The sequence below is a fragment of the Homo sapiens genome, chromosome 20, assembly GCF_000001405.40.
Source record: "Homo sapiens chromosome 20, GRCh38.p14 Primary Assembly".
In the NCBI taxonomy this organism is placed as follows: Eukaryota; Metazoa; Chordata; class Mammalia; order Primates; family Hominidae; genus Homo; species Homo sapiens.
Genome location: NC_000020.11, coordinates 61,797,973 through 61,813,502, shown reverse-complemented (window position 1 = coordinate 61,813,502; position 15,530 = coordinate 61,797,973). Strand labels below are relative to the sequence as shown.

Sequence of the window (15,530 nt, the reverse complement as noted above, 5' to 3'; positions counted from 1 at the left end):
CCGTGGGCAAGTGACAGCCTCTCTGAGCCTCAGGTCCCCATTGGTGGAAAGAGAATGTCCCCAGAGTCCTCACAGGGATGCTCACTTCATCCCCCAGCTCCTGCTATCAGCACATGTGGGGCACTGGGGAGGGGCAGGTTGAGGGGCCCAGTGCTTGGTAGCTAAGTACATTACTCCAGACTCCTCAAGGGAGTGAGGACACACGTGGACTCCCGAGGGTGTGGCCCTGGGTGGGGGAGATCCCGGCCCGAAGCTGGGGACCTCCAAGGAGCTGGAGGGAGCTTGTGAACCATTTGAACTGGTCACCCCACCACAATCTTGTTTACACTGGTAATACTAAAAACCAAAGGAGTTTGCCAAGGACGTTAGAAATTCTGTTTGAAATCTCTGGCAGTAATAATTTAAAACCTTGCTCTCTCTGTTTGAAAAGGAAGGCAGCGGGATGTGGTTCGCAGTCAGCCTCCCATGTGTGCGTGGAGACTCCCAGCCCTGCGGCCCGGAGAGCCTCGGCAGGGCGCCTCCACCACGTCTGGACTTGCAGTTTCCCCACAGAGTCCCCATTTGGTCATCATGTTAGGGCTTGTGTGTTACCAGGCGGCTGTGATTTTTCCTCATCTGTTCCTGGCTGTGCAGGTGGCCTGCAGGAAGAAGCTTGCATGGCTGTCATGGCCTGGAGAGCACAACCCCTCCACGTATTTGGGATACAGTAGTTGAGGGAGGGATAGGAGGTTGCAAGCATTTTGTACAAATGCAAATCGTGGAAAATGCACACATCCAAGCCCCAACTCCCCGTATTATCCCCAAAGGGCGTTGGCTGGCAAGGAGCAATCTTCTACATAACTGCAGTTAATATCTGTTGGTCAGTGACTAAATTACATACCAGGGGCAGGGAATGTGTTCATGAAATTTTAAGACTATGTTTGCGATGGTTTGACTGAAAATACAGACCAGGTATGGTGGCTGAAATTCTCTCGGGGGTTAAAGGATACGTCAAAGAGAGAGGTGGAAGCTGGTGCAGTCGGTACCAGGCCCAGACCCATTTCCCTGGGCAGCGAACCCCTTCTCCAGCTGCTGGGGGCTGGCTGTTAACAGCTCACAGCTGCCCCATCTCTGGAGAGCTGCCCTTGGCCCATGGCAGCCCCACCCGGCAGGCCCAGCAGCCCAGGGCCAGTGACGGCTTGAGGGCAGGGACCCCAGGCCAGCCTGTGCTCCTCAGCTCTGGCAGGGATGGGGCTGAGACCGTCTCTGGCTGCAACCACGCCCTCCCTTAGCTGCTCCCCGACCCCTACCACTTCCCTCCCTGATACCCCGCCCCCAATAACATGCCCCTAAACCCCAGTCTCAGCTCTGCTTCTAGAAAACCTGAGTGAAGCTTAGGCAGCCACCCTTGGAAGCAGATGAACTAAGGCACGGTGAGAGTGCTGTGTCCCCCGCAGCGGGGGAGAAACAGGAAAGACGAAGGCGGGCAGATGGGAAAACCACACAGGGCCTCAAACCCAAGCCCAGGCGGGGAGTCTGAAGGACAGCAGGCGGCTAGGTGCAGTGGCTCATGCCTATAATCCTAGCACTTTGGGAGGCCGAGGTAGGTGGATCACCTGCGGTCAGGAGTTCGAGACCAGCCTGGCCAACATGGTGAAACCCCATCTCTACTAAAAATACAAAAATTAACCGGGCATGGTGACGTGTGCCTGTAGTACCAGCTACATGGGAGGCTGAGGCAGGAGAATTGCTTGAACCCGGGAGGCAGAGGTTGCAGTGAGTGGAGATCGTGGCACTGCACTCCAGCCTGGGGGTGCCAACTCAAAAAAAAAAAAAAAAAAGCTCAGTAGGCAGCCAGGGGCGTGACCCCGGGTGGCAGGGGCGTGACCCCGGGTGGCAGTGGCTGGGCTCATTTGTGGGCTGGTGGGCTCCGCTTTCACACAGTAGCACTGGCAAGGCCAGGGAGCCCTGGGATGTTCTGGGCTAGGGAACCACCATTTTCCCATTTCTAACTGGTTGATTCCACTGCTCTGAAATGAGCTTCCTTTCCTCATGGCAAAAGCATACAGATAGATGTCTGCTGTTTTTTCCTTGCTTCAGATTGTCAAAAGTGTGATCTTGATTTCAGGCAAATGGTCACTGCTTTTTCTCCTGGGCTGTGTCTGTGTAAGCCGGGAAGGGGCATTTCATTCCCACCCCCGATGAGGGCGGTCTTGGGCTGCCGGCATGTGGATCCCAGCTTTCAGGAAAAGCTCCTTGCCAAAGTTCAAGCCGTTTGGATGTTTCCTCCAGCAATTCTTCACTTCACCTGGTTCACATCCTCAGCAGGGATTGCATTTTTTTTTTCTCTAAGAGTTTGGGGATGTTTGGTTTTTTGGAAATGTGGTTTCTGTTGTTCTTCCAGAGCAGCAGGTGTGACAGGCGGTGGCGGGGCTGCTGAGGATGTGGCGCGGCTGCTGAGGATGCGGCAGTCAGCACCGCGCCATTAGTTTTGCAGGGGATGAAGAGCCATGAGTTCGTTTGACTGATTCCTTTCTAGCTCCCGTTACAAATGCAGCATCATTTGCAGTGCAGGATAACGCAGGCTCTGCAGGCTCCTGCAGCCCCCGTCTCGAAGCTTCCTGGAGCGGCCATACCCTCTGTGCTGGCTGCGTTCTGGAGAAGCCGGGCCAAGGGGCAGTGGCTCTGTTGAGCAGCTGAGACTGGAGAAGTGACCACCGAGGCATCTGGGGGTCCCAGGAGTTCTTGCAGACTGCGGGCCCTGCTTGGTTCTGCCCTGGCAGCCAGACCCTGAATGCGGCTACACGTCATCTAGCGGCAGAGTACTGATTTTTTCCAAAATTAAATGTTTTATAGCCCTGGAGTGGTTCCTGGCTTGTTAGGGGGCTGGGAGGTGTTGGTAGTGGTGGATGGGAGCAGGGCGGGAGGCAGGAGGCAGGGTGAGGCGGGCACACGGGCTGGGGCTCTCTCGGGCTTCCTGTGTGCCTGTGGCTCCCTGATTCTGGTTCCCGTACACGCTCCCTTGCTCCTTCCCACTGCGGGTGAGCAGAGTGGGTCAGAACTTGGGTCTGAGAACCCGGGTCAGAACTTGGGTCTGAGAACCCAGGTCAGAAACTTGGCCGAGGGCAGTTTTTGCTGGGAAGAGTCCTGGTAATGGCACAAGGAACTCTGTCACAGACACACACAGCAGGCTCATGGGGGGGACGACAGCCTGGCACAGCCGCCCCGACTGGCCCGGTGGATAGCCACATGTGGCCATACCCACACATCCATGTGGGTGGCCATGGCCTTTCCCGGGGTCTGCCAGTGGGATGTTAGTGTGGCTGGCCCGGCCTCCCTCACCCATCTCTGTCTCCGTCTTGAGAACAGGTCTAGGCTCAGGTGCCCCCCACCCCACCCCGGCTGAGGCCCGTCCAGGTCTGACCAACGCTAGCCAAACCTCTGGATGTGTGAGAAACACACTTGTGGTTGGATGTCACTGAGGTTTTATGGGTGGTTGTTATGCAGGATTATCACGGCAATCACCAACTGATACGATGGTCTTCTACAGGGCAGCCAGACCATCTTCCTCCCCTGACTGCCTGCAACAGCCTCCTGTGCCACTGAGAGCAATGCACACGCTCTTCACCACGGTCTGTGGCCTGCAGTGACCCCCACCCCCCGCTGTGCTCCGACCTCACCGTCCTCACTCTAGACACCTGCCTTGTCTCAGGTACTTGTTGGTTGTAACATTTGCAAGTATGGAAGGTTCTGCCTTCGTCCAAACAGCCTCCCAGCAATGAAAAACACCGCCCTGGTTAGAAAATAGCTGCTTTCTACCGGAACCCCTCCTGGCATTAAAACTCCAGTTCCCAGCTTTGGCCTCCTCATCTGCCCATTGTCATGCAGTCCCCGGCATAGGCGGATCCAGAATGGGATCCAGCCATGCCTTGTGTGCTCACAGCCTGCTTTCCCTCCTCCAAGCATGAACACTCATTAGTCCCGTGTCGAGTATGTATGGCTATAATTACACTTAATCATCCAGCATACTGGGACTTTGATCTTTAATGAGATGTCACTTGTTTTCAGGATACTTGGAACTGGGAATTGGTTTTAGTTATGTAATCCACGCAGATAACAGGTAAACTTGTCTTCCTGGGTGTCATTTGCAATTTGCCACGACATTTAAGATCATAGATGAATTTGAATCCCAAGTAGCACAGATGCGTCACACCCATCATCCTGCCGCTGACCATCCCCGGGACCACATCACACCCATCATCCCGCCGCTGACCATCCCCGGGACCACCATGGCGGGTCATGACAGCACGTCCTTCCTAGAAACACGTCTGAATAGTACAAGAAAAGGACACCACCCGGATTCGCGGAATCAGATCACATATAGATTAATTCCCAATCAAAGGTCTGGGTCCAGAGGACCCCTGGCCACGTGCCTGCAGCCATGGACACGGGCATTTTCCAAGGTGCCAGGCGTCTGTGGCTGGGACTCGGGATGCCTTCTGTGGTGGGTGGGCACACACTCATTTTAGACAATAACATGACTTCTGTATTGACATTGTATTTAATCTAGAAAGTCACATTATCTTTATGGCTACTGACTTGCTGTTGTTGTTAAACAATGACTCCATAAGATGTCCTCGAAAATCAACGTCTGTAGTTTAAAAAAGAAGTTGATTTAAACAAACACATCAGGGTATCAAGAGTATTCTTGGAATCCAGTCAAAGGTGGAGGGGGCAGGCGGGCGGGTGTGGACACTCGCCCTTGGCCAGCGCCTGGACTGGACAATATGCAGGAACGCGGGTTGGACGGGAGCAGCTCCCACACTGGAAAGGCAGTTGCAGGCTCACAGCCTGGGGAGGGGCGTGCTGCCGGAGAAGCTGCTCCGAGGGCCAGTGTGGGGCTGCTCTTCTGTTTCAAATCACATTAAGGAGGAATTTTGCATAAATTCCCTTTAATGTTCCGAAACGTAGCAAGATCTGGGAGGGGCTGAGCCAGGGCTGGAGACAAAACCTACACATCATTAAGATCTAGAGTTTGTCCTTAATGTGCCCACAGACTCAAAATGAAGTCTACACGGAGGCTTTCCCCACCGACTGCAGGGCGGAGTGATTATAAATGTGTCTTTGCACAGAGACGTAGCTGTATTTTTTTAAATTTATTTATTTATTTATTTATTTATTTTTGCAGCTGGTGTTGCTACATTTGAAACAAGTCCAAGAAAACAGATTGTATCCCTTAGGTTTGAAATCAAAGTGGGGTTCTGGAAGTGAGGATTCCTCAGTGACTGGCTGAGACGGGGTGATTTTGAACCCAGGGCTGGGGTGGGGCTTGCAGCTCTGTTCCTGCCAGAGCCACGGTTCTGGGCCCCCGCAGCCTTCCCCAGGCTGTGGGGGCCCAGTGCTCAGCTAAGGAGGATTTATTTCCATGCTGCTTCTGTGTGGCAGGGGCATGCTGACCACACTTGCTGGTCTCAGCTCCCTTGTGCCGGGATTCCCAGGAGCTGGATTACTGGTTCATTGTCAGGGCTGGAGACGTGTGTGGGCTCATCGCTGCTATGGCAGCTTGCCCTGAGGCGGCACCCAGACCACCCAGCACTGTGCTGGATCGCGCTGTGCCTGCATCCCGCCAGGCCCACAGCCTGCTGCCCAGTGGACGGCCTCTAACCTAACGAAAGCGACAGTACTGACCATCCTGCATGGATATGTGCTGTGTGCAGAGACGTCCTATCACTTCCCTTCCTATATTTCAGAACTCCCAGCTAGCTGGGCCTCCTACTGGCGCCAGGCATTTTCCGAGTCGGTTTGTTCATCACACCGTTTGAGTCTGAAGAGCCGTCCACAGTTCCCCAGCTGTTCTCACAATCTTCTGTTTACCTCCCCGAATGCTATTTGGCCACCACTCTGTGGCTGGCCTCACACCAACCAGCCCTGCACGGAACACCTGCCCTTGGTCACACTCCCCTCGCTGATGGTGGACACAGCTGCACCTTGACGGGGAGAAAGGGCTGCAACTTCCCAGCCGGGAGGAGATGGAGTAGAAAGAGGAGGGAGATTTCCAAATCCAACACATTGAACTTGAATAGCCTCAAATTCCGACATTTAGGTACCCAGACACCCTGTTACGAGAAGCTGAGGGTAAACTCTACAGCTCAGGGAATCCTCTCCCACCGCCCACTCTCCTGAGATCCAAAGACCCCAGCGGGGCCACAGCAAGGCTGGGTCTGGCCCTGGTGGTTCTGAATACAGCTCCATGGACTGGACAACACCCAGTCTCTACAACATCACTGACTTCCTTCCCCAGGGCAGTTCTCCCACAGGCCACTCCTCTGTCTGGCAGGACCCACCAGGCACCTCCCGAGGCCCTCCCGGCACCTGCCCCACTGGCCTTGCAGCTGGGGGCTGGCGGGGCTGCGGGGCCCTGGGAGCTCATAGATCAGGGGATGAGCGAGACATTTTCAAAATCATCTCCTGTGTCAGTTTCTTAGCAACCCATTATTAGAGGGCTTTGTAGTAGTTAAAAAAAGATCCCCTGTCAAAGTGTAGCTGTGATTTGGAGAAGCCCCCATCTCTGTACCGTGCATTACGGGAAAACCTGGAGTGCAGCGGCTCTTACCCAGGTCCTCCAGGCCCTGTGGCCACCCCTCCCCAGCAGGAGACAGGAACAGGCACAAAACACCACCCCCAGATGCTGACACTTCCCACTCACAGAGACGGTGTGCACATGTGTGTGGCAAAACATGCATGTTGATGAACATGTCCCTGATGTCTGCTCACAGCAGCCGTGGCAGGGACCAAGGTTTCCTCCTGTGTCCTCACTTCCCCCGCAGAATTAAACAGCCCCAAGGGAAAGGTGAGGCAGCTCCTCCAGCAGCCCCTGAGCAATTCCAGTCCGGCCTCTGCTACAGCCCCCACCCTCCACCTGCTCCGATGGTACTGCATGTGTGTGTGCGTGCGCGTGGACATGTGTGTGCGTGCGCGTGGACATGTGTGTGCACACGTGTTCCTCAGATGCTCACTTGGGTATGGAATTGCCTCCCCACTCCCTTTTAACAGGGCACCTCCTCACCCTGGGTGTGCACGGCCGCACAAACTGTGTTTCTGGTGCCCTCCTGCAGGCGAGTGGACGGTCCTCCCCGTGTGTTCCTAACCCCGTGGGAGGTGGTGGTGCCTGGTCTCCTTGTCCTGGGCATGAGGCTTTGGGTAGGCTTCCTTAGCCCTGTGGACGCCCCCCTCCTCATCTCTCCAGTGGTGACAAGAACACTCCACCCCCAACCAGTCAGGCAGGCAGGCCACGACGCCTGGCTCTGACATCTGGGAAGACGCAAGGGTCCTTTTGGCTACTAAGAGGTCACTGCCGCACTGTCCTACAGAATAGGCTGTTGCCTAGAACAGACACACATGTGGAATTCCTTCCAGAATGACATCCTGCAGCCATTCTAAATGTGCCCCGAACCACAATGCTTTCAGTACTGGGTGCCACAGAGCGGAAGGAGCCCCCAGGCGAGGTTTCCTGCCTTCCCCTTGCCCCAAGCACCCACCTCCCAGCGGGCCTGCGTAGCTTTCCACAGCACCACAGTGGACACCGAGTGAGTGATGGTGGGTCTCTCCTGAGCATATACCTACATAGCTGGCAACTGCCGGGCAATGAAGATCCCATATTTTGGCTCTTTCTAAATTAAATCTGCTTTGTGGAGCTCTGGCTGTGACAACTCATGCACCCACCACAGGGCTGGATGATCTTGGGGTGATGGCCGGTGTGAGAGGGCCCCTCCCTGAGTTTGTTTTCCACGGATGATCAATGAGCTTGAGCATCTCCCAATACACTGCCCTGGCCTCGTGGGAGTTTTAAACATACCTCTGCCATGCGGTAGGTTGGGTGGCATCAGGCAGTCGAATGCTCCCCAGGTGATTCTGACCTGGGGTGGGTCCGAGACCCCCGGGCAGGCTGCCCTCTCTGTGCTGCACACAGGAGCCTGTGTTTCCTCGCAGGAGGGCGAGTGTCTGAGGCCGGGCAGGGGAGTGTACCCTCTGGATCCCGGAAAGGTTGTGCCTGGCCGGAAAGGTGGCCCTGACCCTTGCTGGCCTTTATGGTTATGGGGCTCGGGTGTGGCTCTGTGGGACACCCAGCCATGCTGCCCACCTCCATCTGCCAACACAGAGGCCATCCTGGCCACTTCTCAGCAGATGCCTGTTTGTTTTGCTTGCTCACTGTCCACTGTCCACTCTCCCCTCTTCTGGGGACAGCACCCCAGGGATCCTTAGGGAGCTGTTCTTCTCTGCTCCTCTCTGTTCTAGTAGCTTGGGTAGGGATGGGGGGCTGGGTCAAGGACTGGCCAAGCAGAGCCTAGAGTCTTCTCAGCACCGTACCGGCTTCCGGCTGGGCATATGAGCCCATCAAAGCCAATGAGTCACTCCCAAGATGTTTGCTGGAATGACAAGAAGGAAAGGACCTCTCTTTCCACGAACTTGGAGTTACTGGGATGCACTCTTGGCCTGGCGCTGGGGCTTCTGTGGAGACCGGGGCTAATGTCAAAGACGGCAGGTCTGCGGGATGAGGGGAAAGCGCCTGCTGACTCTGGCATTGTCTGAGCGCCTAGATCCTGCCGGGCCTGAAGCTGACAGCTCTGTATGTTCCGTTTATGTGCCCCATAAATCTTGCACTTTTCACTGGCCTCTGCCTTTTAGAGTTGGCTTCTGCCCCTTGCAACAGATGAGTCCTGACTGTTCTACTCCAGACCTCTGAGCCATCTCTTCTTCTGGTTTCGTACTTAGATGGTGATGCCTCCACACGGGGACTCCCCTCTGGACTTTCCCTGCACTTCTGAGGCTACGGCCACTCCCTCCCCTGGAGGATCCCCACACTGAGGCAGCAGAAACCTGACACACCCACCAGGCGAGAGCTGGGCAGGTCCACAGAGGAGACAGGAGGGATGCTCAGAGGGGAACCCATATGGTAAGGAGAGGGCAGGACCTGGAGGCTTCAGGAGGAAGGGGGACTGAGTGCTTTCGGTGTGGCTCAGAGGTCCAGACAGCAGAGCTGCCCCCCGGGTGTGGCTGACCTCCAGGTGACTGGTGGCCAGCAGTGGGTGAGGCCGAGGCCAGATGCAGAGGCTGGACGGCGGAGAGGGGTGGTCAGACAGCATGGACAGTGGCTGTGCAGGGGACAGCTCTTTGCCTCTCCTGTCACTTCTACCCGCCTCGGTCCTCTGTCTCCTCACCTGCACCATGTGGCTGGTGACACCCGTCTGGTGATGCCTCAGAGACAAAACAGAACCTGCAGAGGCCAGCCCCTCACCTGAGGGCGAATCTCCAGCCCCGTCCTCAGCACAGCAGTTCGGGCGGCTCTCAGGCCGCCATGCAGGCAGGACCGACATCCTGCAAACTGCTGTTTCCACCACCTGCTCCGGGTCCCAGCTTGACACGTTTTCTGTCGTGCCTCCTTACCAACAACAAGCTCGTGTGGAGAGCAGGCGCCTCTCTCTTGGCAAGAACATTTGTGAGTTTGGCAACTTCCTTGACAAGAGATACTTGCTAAACACAACAAAAAAGTTTCACTCGTTTCTGCTTCCATTACCTCCGCCGTCTCGGCACCGCCTCCTGGAAGCAGACGCAGCGGGGGCCGGCCTCACGCTCTGCAGCGATGGAGCCTGTTCTCGTTTCTCCTGTCCTTCCTGGGTGGCGTGTGTTTTTCAGTTTTGAGTTTTCTAAGCTGCAGAGCCACTGGAAATGGAGCTTTTCTTACAAATGACTTTCACTGACAGTTTATAAACATCGAGTGATTTGCTAGGGCTCTGGGAAGCACACAGTTGAACGTTTCCTTCCAACCTCCCTTGGGGAACGCAGAGCTCTGGGCGCCCCCTTATCCTGGCCATGCAGAGTAACTGGAATCCCGCAGCCTCAAGATGCCCCACCCTCCAGGCCACCAGGCCTGCGGCTCGCCCGCGGTAGCAGAACTGATTCCTAATTTGGATGGATTCCATTCGCTGGAGGATGAACTCAGAGGGGCAGAGATTTCGGCTCTAATCCCCCGACCAAAGCTACCTTAACATGTAATCAAGTTACCATTTCATATTTCCAAATAAAGTTGAACAGTTGAACGAAAAGATTTCATTTGGGAGCCAGACTTAAATTTAAATACCGCCCGTCTCTTGGTATTAGGGAGTTTTAGACTTTCAAATAACCCAGCCCGGGGAAATTGGGTTGGACAGCCTCTCTGGCCGCACTTCTCTGCCTGGCTTCTCTAACTGCCAGCCCGGGCGGATTGTGCCGAGCGTGGAGAGTACCCAGGCTGCTCCCTGCCACTCTGAGAGCATCCAGAGGAAGACCTCAGCCCGTCCACAGCCGCCACGACGGGACCCCACAGCACATCGCGGACACACCGTCAACGACGGAGCTGCGACTCGCCGCGCTGCTGAGACAGGGCTGGCCGCTCTACAGGCAGGCAATTAGCAGTGGGGGCGTGGGAAGGAGGGGAGCGCTGTCCAGACCTGTTGGTAAATCAGGCCCCGGCAGTGACAAGGTAGACACGCCGCCTCCTCTGCCTCCCCAGCTGCCATGTTGGAGAGAGCCAGACCCAGGATAAACAGAATTCGGAGAAGCCCCTCCAGCGAGAGCCAGCCTGCGACTATCCCGCAAAAGGCAGCAGCCAGGAGGACGGGGAGGAACGCTGCATGCACCTGTGAAGCCTCTGTGGACGGCGGTGGCCACAGACAGGGCCCCGTGGTGGGAAGGCCCGGTTCCTCCAGCCTCTCCTCCCAGGCATCGCCCCGTCTAGGCCCAGGTGGCACCTGTTTCCCCCTGCCCGGCCCCCAGGCTGGGAGGCAGCTCCCAGGGCTGCGCTCTGCCTTTTCTCCATTTCCTTTGCAGCCATTCTGCAGTGAAAATGGCTGATTTGCTTGAAGCAGCAAGCGAAAAACCCACGCGTGGACTCCCGTTTGGAAATTGCTCCCAACGGAGACAGTTGTTTTTTTTTTCCCCAAGTAAGTTTTCCTTCAAAGCGATGCTCTGCAGAGAAATTCCTTTCTTTACAACTAACTCAGAGACAGTGAAAACAGGGACGATGGGGCCACCCCCACGATTTTGGGGGAGCTTCAGTTTCCTCACATACTTTCTCAGGCACAACTGACCCCCACGAGGTTCTCGGCTACACACAGCAGGGTGGCTGCAGGGTGGGCTCTTTAGTCTGACTTTTGGGGTTCAAAGCCCAGTTCTGTACTTTGAGCTGTGTGACCTTGAGTGAGAATCCTGACCTCTCTGAGACTGTTGTCTCTGCTGGGAACAGAGCATGATCAGGGTGTGTAGCGCCCTTTCTGGGGCTGCCACAGGGGCTGAATGAAGCCGAGGAGGGGTCTGCCTGGGCCTGGCTCCAAGGAGGTGCTCTGTGAATGCAGCTGTCTTTGGCATCCTCGTTTATAAGAGAAAGGTGGGGAGGGCTTGAGGACATTGCCGGACAAAGGGGCAGAGACCAGACCTGATTGAGGCCCGCTCTTGCGCCACTTACAGGTCTGGGAACTCCATGGCATTCTCTTATGGCAGCAAGGCTGGCTGAATCCGGCTGCCAGAGACATCTGGGTTCTCATCCTGGGACCAGTGAATGCCACCTTCCATGGCAAAAGAGAGTTTGCAGACGTGATGGAGTGAAGGATCTTGAGATGAGGCCCATCCTGGATTTCCCAGGGGCCCCTCAAGGCCATGTGAAGGGTCCTTATGGAGGGCAGGAGAGGGAGCTTTGACTACAGAGGAGAAGGTGATGTGGAAAGAAAGCAGAGAGAGGCTGGAGGAGGCTGTGCTGCTGCCCTTGAAGACAGAGCAAGGGGCCAGGAGCCACAGAGGTGGGGCAGGAGCCTCTAGAAACGGGAAAGGGCAGGAGATGGGTCCTCCCCTAGGGCCTCCAGTGGGAGCATGGCCCTGCTGACCCTTGACTTTGACCCACAGAAACTAACCTCTGACTCTGACCTCCAGCACCATGTGGGGCTACACGGGGCTGTTCTCTGCCACCTGGTTTGTGGTGATTTGTGACAGCAGCTCCCGGCAACTCACACAGACAGGGAGTGACCACTGAAGGAACACCTACTTCGGCACTTCAGAGACACAAAGAAGAGGACAGGTGGCTTCGGGATGACGTCTCAGAACTCTGAGGGTCCATGGCTTTAACCACACACACCAGTGTTTGTGGTTGATGCCCTCAACCCTAGAGAGACGCTTGGCTGATGCGGCTGGACACCCTGGCCCTGCCCAGAGGCTGCCTGACCCCACTCCCCCAATGTCTAGGTGTCGGGGGACCACCCTGCTTTCTGCCGGCTCTCCCGCTGCAGCCTGCAGACACTGAGAGGTGCTGCTGTCCATGCCTTTTGTCCCCAAGCCCTCAACACCTCCCAACGGGAGGCAGGAGCCCCGGTGCTGTGGCGTCTTGAGGACTAATGTCACTGCAGAAGGTGGGTTTCTCAAGCCCCCACCGAAAACCAAGCCTGGGGTTGCAGTGCCCAAACTGACAGATGAGAAGGGGACAATCAGTGCCCCTCGTAGCTGCCCCCAACCAAGATGCTTGGAGGGTCCCAGGAGGGCCCTGCAGCCATGCCCAGGCCTACCCTATGTGTGGCGCAGATGGGCCCGAGGCCACTGTGGAGTGGACACTGGCCATTCTCACTGGTGGGCTCTAAGGATGTGGAGTGCCAGAGGTTACACGCCCCAGGGTCCCCAGTGGGCCTGTTATCAGGCAAGGGAAGGCAGGGAGTTCCAGCCCATCTGTCTCCCAGCCCCGGCCCCTTGGGGTGTGTCCAAGAGGCCATCTGTGCTCTCGGCCTGCCTGAGGCTCTGCCTTGAGCCGGGCACTGCCAGCACTTCCTGTGAGCCCCCTGCCCATATCCTGGGGACTTAAGGTTGTCAGGTCCTAAGGGCAGGCAGTGGTCCTGGAGCTGAAGGGCTCACACTGCAGCCCCGCTCTGCCCTGTCTTGGCTGTGTGTCTTTGGGCAGGTGTTTTACCCTCTCTGGGCTCCATTTCCTTTCTGTGGGGGGCGATGAGGAGATTCACAAGGATAGTGGTGGGAGAAGCACCATCCCCCGTGGAGCCATAAGGTAAGAGTGCAGCAAATGGTTGCAGTGACAGTGGCCCTGAAGCTGGGTCAGCCCTGCGGCGGGCATGGGACTCTTGGCGTAGTCTAAAGGGAGTGCCCAAGGAGGGGGCAAAGAGTCGGCTACGCAGAACTGCCCCTGCCCGGTCATGGGGCGAGGAGCTCTGCCCCCCTGGCGGCCGGGCAGCTTCCCAGAAGCACCGTGTGTGCACTCGAGGGAGTGCGGTCTGGTCTTCGGGGCTTTGCAGCACTCACAAAGGGCCCTTGGGGCTGCAGGCCGCTCGCTTGCTTGCACACAAAGAAGATGCAGCCCTGCACAGGCTTCAAGGAGGGAGTAGAGGATGCTGGCCCCACCCGGCCCTGGACCATGCTGTGGGCTGGGGAACCCCTCAGAGGAAGCACAGGCGGGGAAGCCGGCCCGGTGACTGTGCCCACCGAGGGCCGCTGCAGCCGAGCGGGTCATGGGAAGGGACGGGCCATGAAGACAAGCGGAGATGGCCCTGGGCTCTCAGGGAGGTTGCATGAGAGATGGGGAGCGGGGCAGAGCCACTGCAGAGGCCCCACTCGAGGCCCCGCAGGGACCGTGGTGTTATGAGGCTGGCAGCCATGACCATGTGACTGGCCTTTTGGGCTGAGCATCAGTGAAGGCAGCACGGGAAGGAAATCTGTTACCGCTGTGACCGGGCCCACGCCCTGCCCACCCAGGAGCGGGGATACCCTGGGAGGGGCTTGAAGGACCCAGGAGAGATGGAGAGGAGCTCCCTGGGCCCAGCTCAACAGCCCTTTGTGCAGATACCCCAGCACCCCTCCTATCCCCAGTGCCCAGGCTGAGTGTGGTATCCTGGTGGGGAGGAGCAGCCCAGGACGCATCTCCTGAGACGTGGGAGAGAGCAGCCCCCTGGCCTCTCCAGACCACAAAGGGTGATGCCAACCCACCTGGAAACGCAGGCCCAGGCTCTGGGCACAGGTGCCAATGGTTAACGGTTAGCACAAAGATCGACTCTAAAATGCAAAGTCCCTACCAGCCTGCAGGGAATTGAGGCCTCAAAACATTCATAGCTTGCTCGTGTTCTCCAGAAATTCATGGGAATATTTAAAATAATCCTCTTATATTATGAAGCGTATTTAACCTTTTTCTCCTGGAGGTAGCAGCTGGGTTTCGCCCAACTCAACACTCACACCAGCCAGTTGCACAGACCTACCTCTTTGCAATTCCCAATTTATAGCTTTCCACACGTAATTTCCTCATAGAGGTAGTAAGACAGTTTACTTAAGCTATTCAAATATTATCTGATTATTTTGAAACATTTATAAGGGCTAATTACAAGTAACAGTTGATGAGCAATGTAGCAGCTATAAAATTAATCCTCAGTAACCACAGCTCTGACAAGTAGCTGGTATCTACTTAACATACATTAAAAGCTTTTTAAGTTTGCATTAAGAAAGCCTTGAGCTTAGTGAAATCTCAGGGGACTGTTGATCACAACACAGTAGCTGTCAGCCCTTGCCCTGTGTCGCGAAAGGAGCCCGGGTCATCGGGTCGGTGGGGACTAATCCTCACTGACTGCCAGTTTGGAAAGGACGCATCGACGTGAGCTAATGAGACTGGGACCAGCGCCGTGTCCTGGCTGGACTCGGGACACACAGCCGCCATCCTGCCAGACTGACCACTGGCACCTGGGGCTGCTGCGGAGGACTCCTGCCGGCCCGGCCCTCTCCTCTTCTGCAAGGAGGAAGAAGCAGGCTGTCCAGGGTCCCTGGCTTGTGAGAAAGTTACTCAGAGCCTCTGCCCAGCGTGCTGGTGTCCATGAGTACTGGTCACCAGGAGCAAGGGGCCTGGCCGAGGTGGCATTTGTCCATGTGGTCTTGGCCAGTCTAACACTCAGGTGGCTCCACACAGAGCATGCAGCAGCCGCGTCTGTTGAGTAGTTTTCTTCCTGAGGGGCCCACCCGCCTGCAGTGGAATCAGCGCGATGCACCCCGGGGCCACGCTCTGGACCACACCCCACAAGGCCTGCTGCGCACGGAGGTAGCAGGAAAGGAGCGGAGGGTCCGGACGGGCTGAGGACCCACAGCCCATTCTGTATGTGAGGAGTGTGGAGGCCCGTGGGGCCAGGGAGAGGCTGAGGCGCAGCGAGGGGCCGCCCACAGCGGGGATGCGTGCGAGGCGGGACCACACCCCCTCCCCTCTGTTGCTGCGTGCTCCCGCAGGGAGCTGAGGGTGCTCCTGGCAGGAGGTGCTGCCACAGAGCCCGGGGCAGGGCCGGGCGGGGCGGGGGTTATGGCTGCTGGCTCAGGAGAGGCGCAGGGTGAGAGGGCGGTGACTGACGGTGTGACCCGGGCGAGGGGTGTCAAAGGAACTGCTCATGGATGTGACAGCGAGACTCAGAGAGGCTGGCTGTGGACGCTCAGTGAGGCTGGAGCTGACCCCGGAGTGGTGCTTTTCCATTTTGGCTTTCTCTAGAAAAACTCTAGGATGA

The 15,530-nt window shown here is 56.7% G+C and overlaps 1 protein-coding gene across 5 annotated transcripts in view, besides 3 other annotated features; it reads right to left on the bottom strand.

Annotated features, from left to right (window-relative positions):
- Window positions 1-15,530, bottom strand: part of CDH4 (cadherin 4) — a 688,357-nt gene that overhangs the window by 127,115 nt on the left and 545,712 nt on the right. The window lies entirely within an intron of this gene.
- Window positions 3,875-4,588: an enhancer, noted in NCBI's record as "H3K4me1 hESC enhancer chr20:60383971-60384684 (GRCh37/hg19 assembly coordinates)". NCBI's record gives its function as "activates a minimal SCP1, AML or CMV promoter by ChIP-STARR-seq in naive H9 embryonic stem cells {active_cell/tissue: H9 hESC(naive)}" and the evidence as "EXISTENCE:reporter gene assay evidence [ECO:0000049][PMID:30033119]".
- Window positions 9,862-10,382: an enhancer, noted in NCBI's record as "H3K4me1 hESC enhancer chr20:60378177-60378697 (GRCh37/hg19 assembly coordinates)". NCBI's record gives its function as "activates a minimal SCP1, AML or CMV promoter by ChIP-STARR-seq in naive H9 embryonic stem cells {active_cell/tissue: H9 hESC(naive)}" and the evidence as "EXISTENCE:reporter gene assay evidence [ECO:0000049][PMID:30033119]".
- Window positions 10,383-10,903: an enhancer, noted in NCBI's record as "H3K4me1 hESC enhancer chr20:60377656-60378176 (GRCh37/hg19 assembly coordinates)". NCBI's record gives its function as "activates a minimal SCP1, AML or CMV promoter by ChIP-STARR-seq in naive H9 embryonic stem cells {active_cell/tissue: H9 hESC(naive)}" and the evidence as "EXISTENCE:reporter gene assay evidence [ECO:0000049][PMID:30033119]".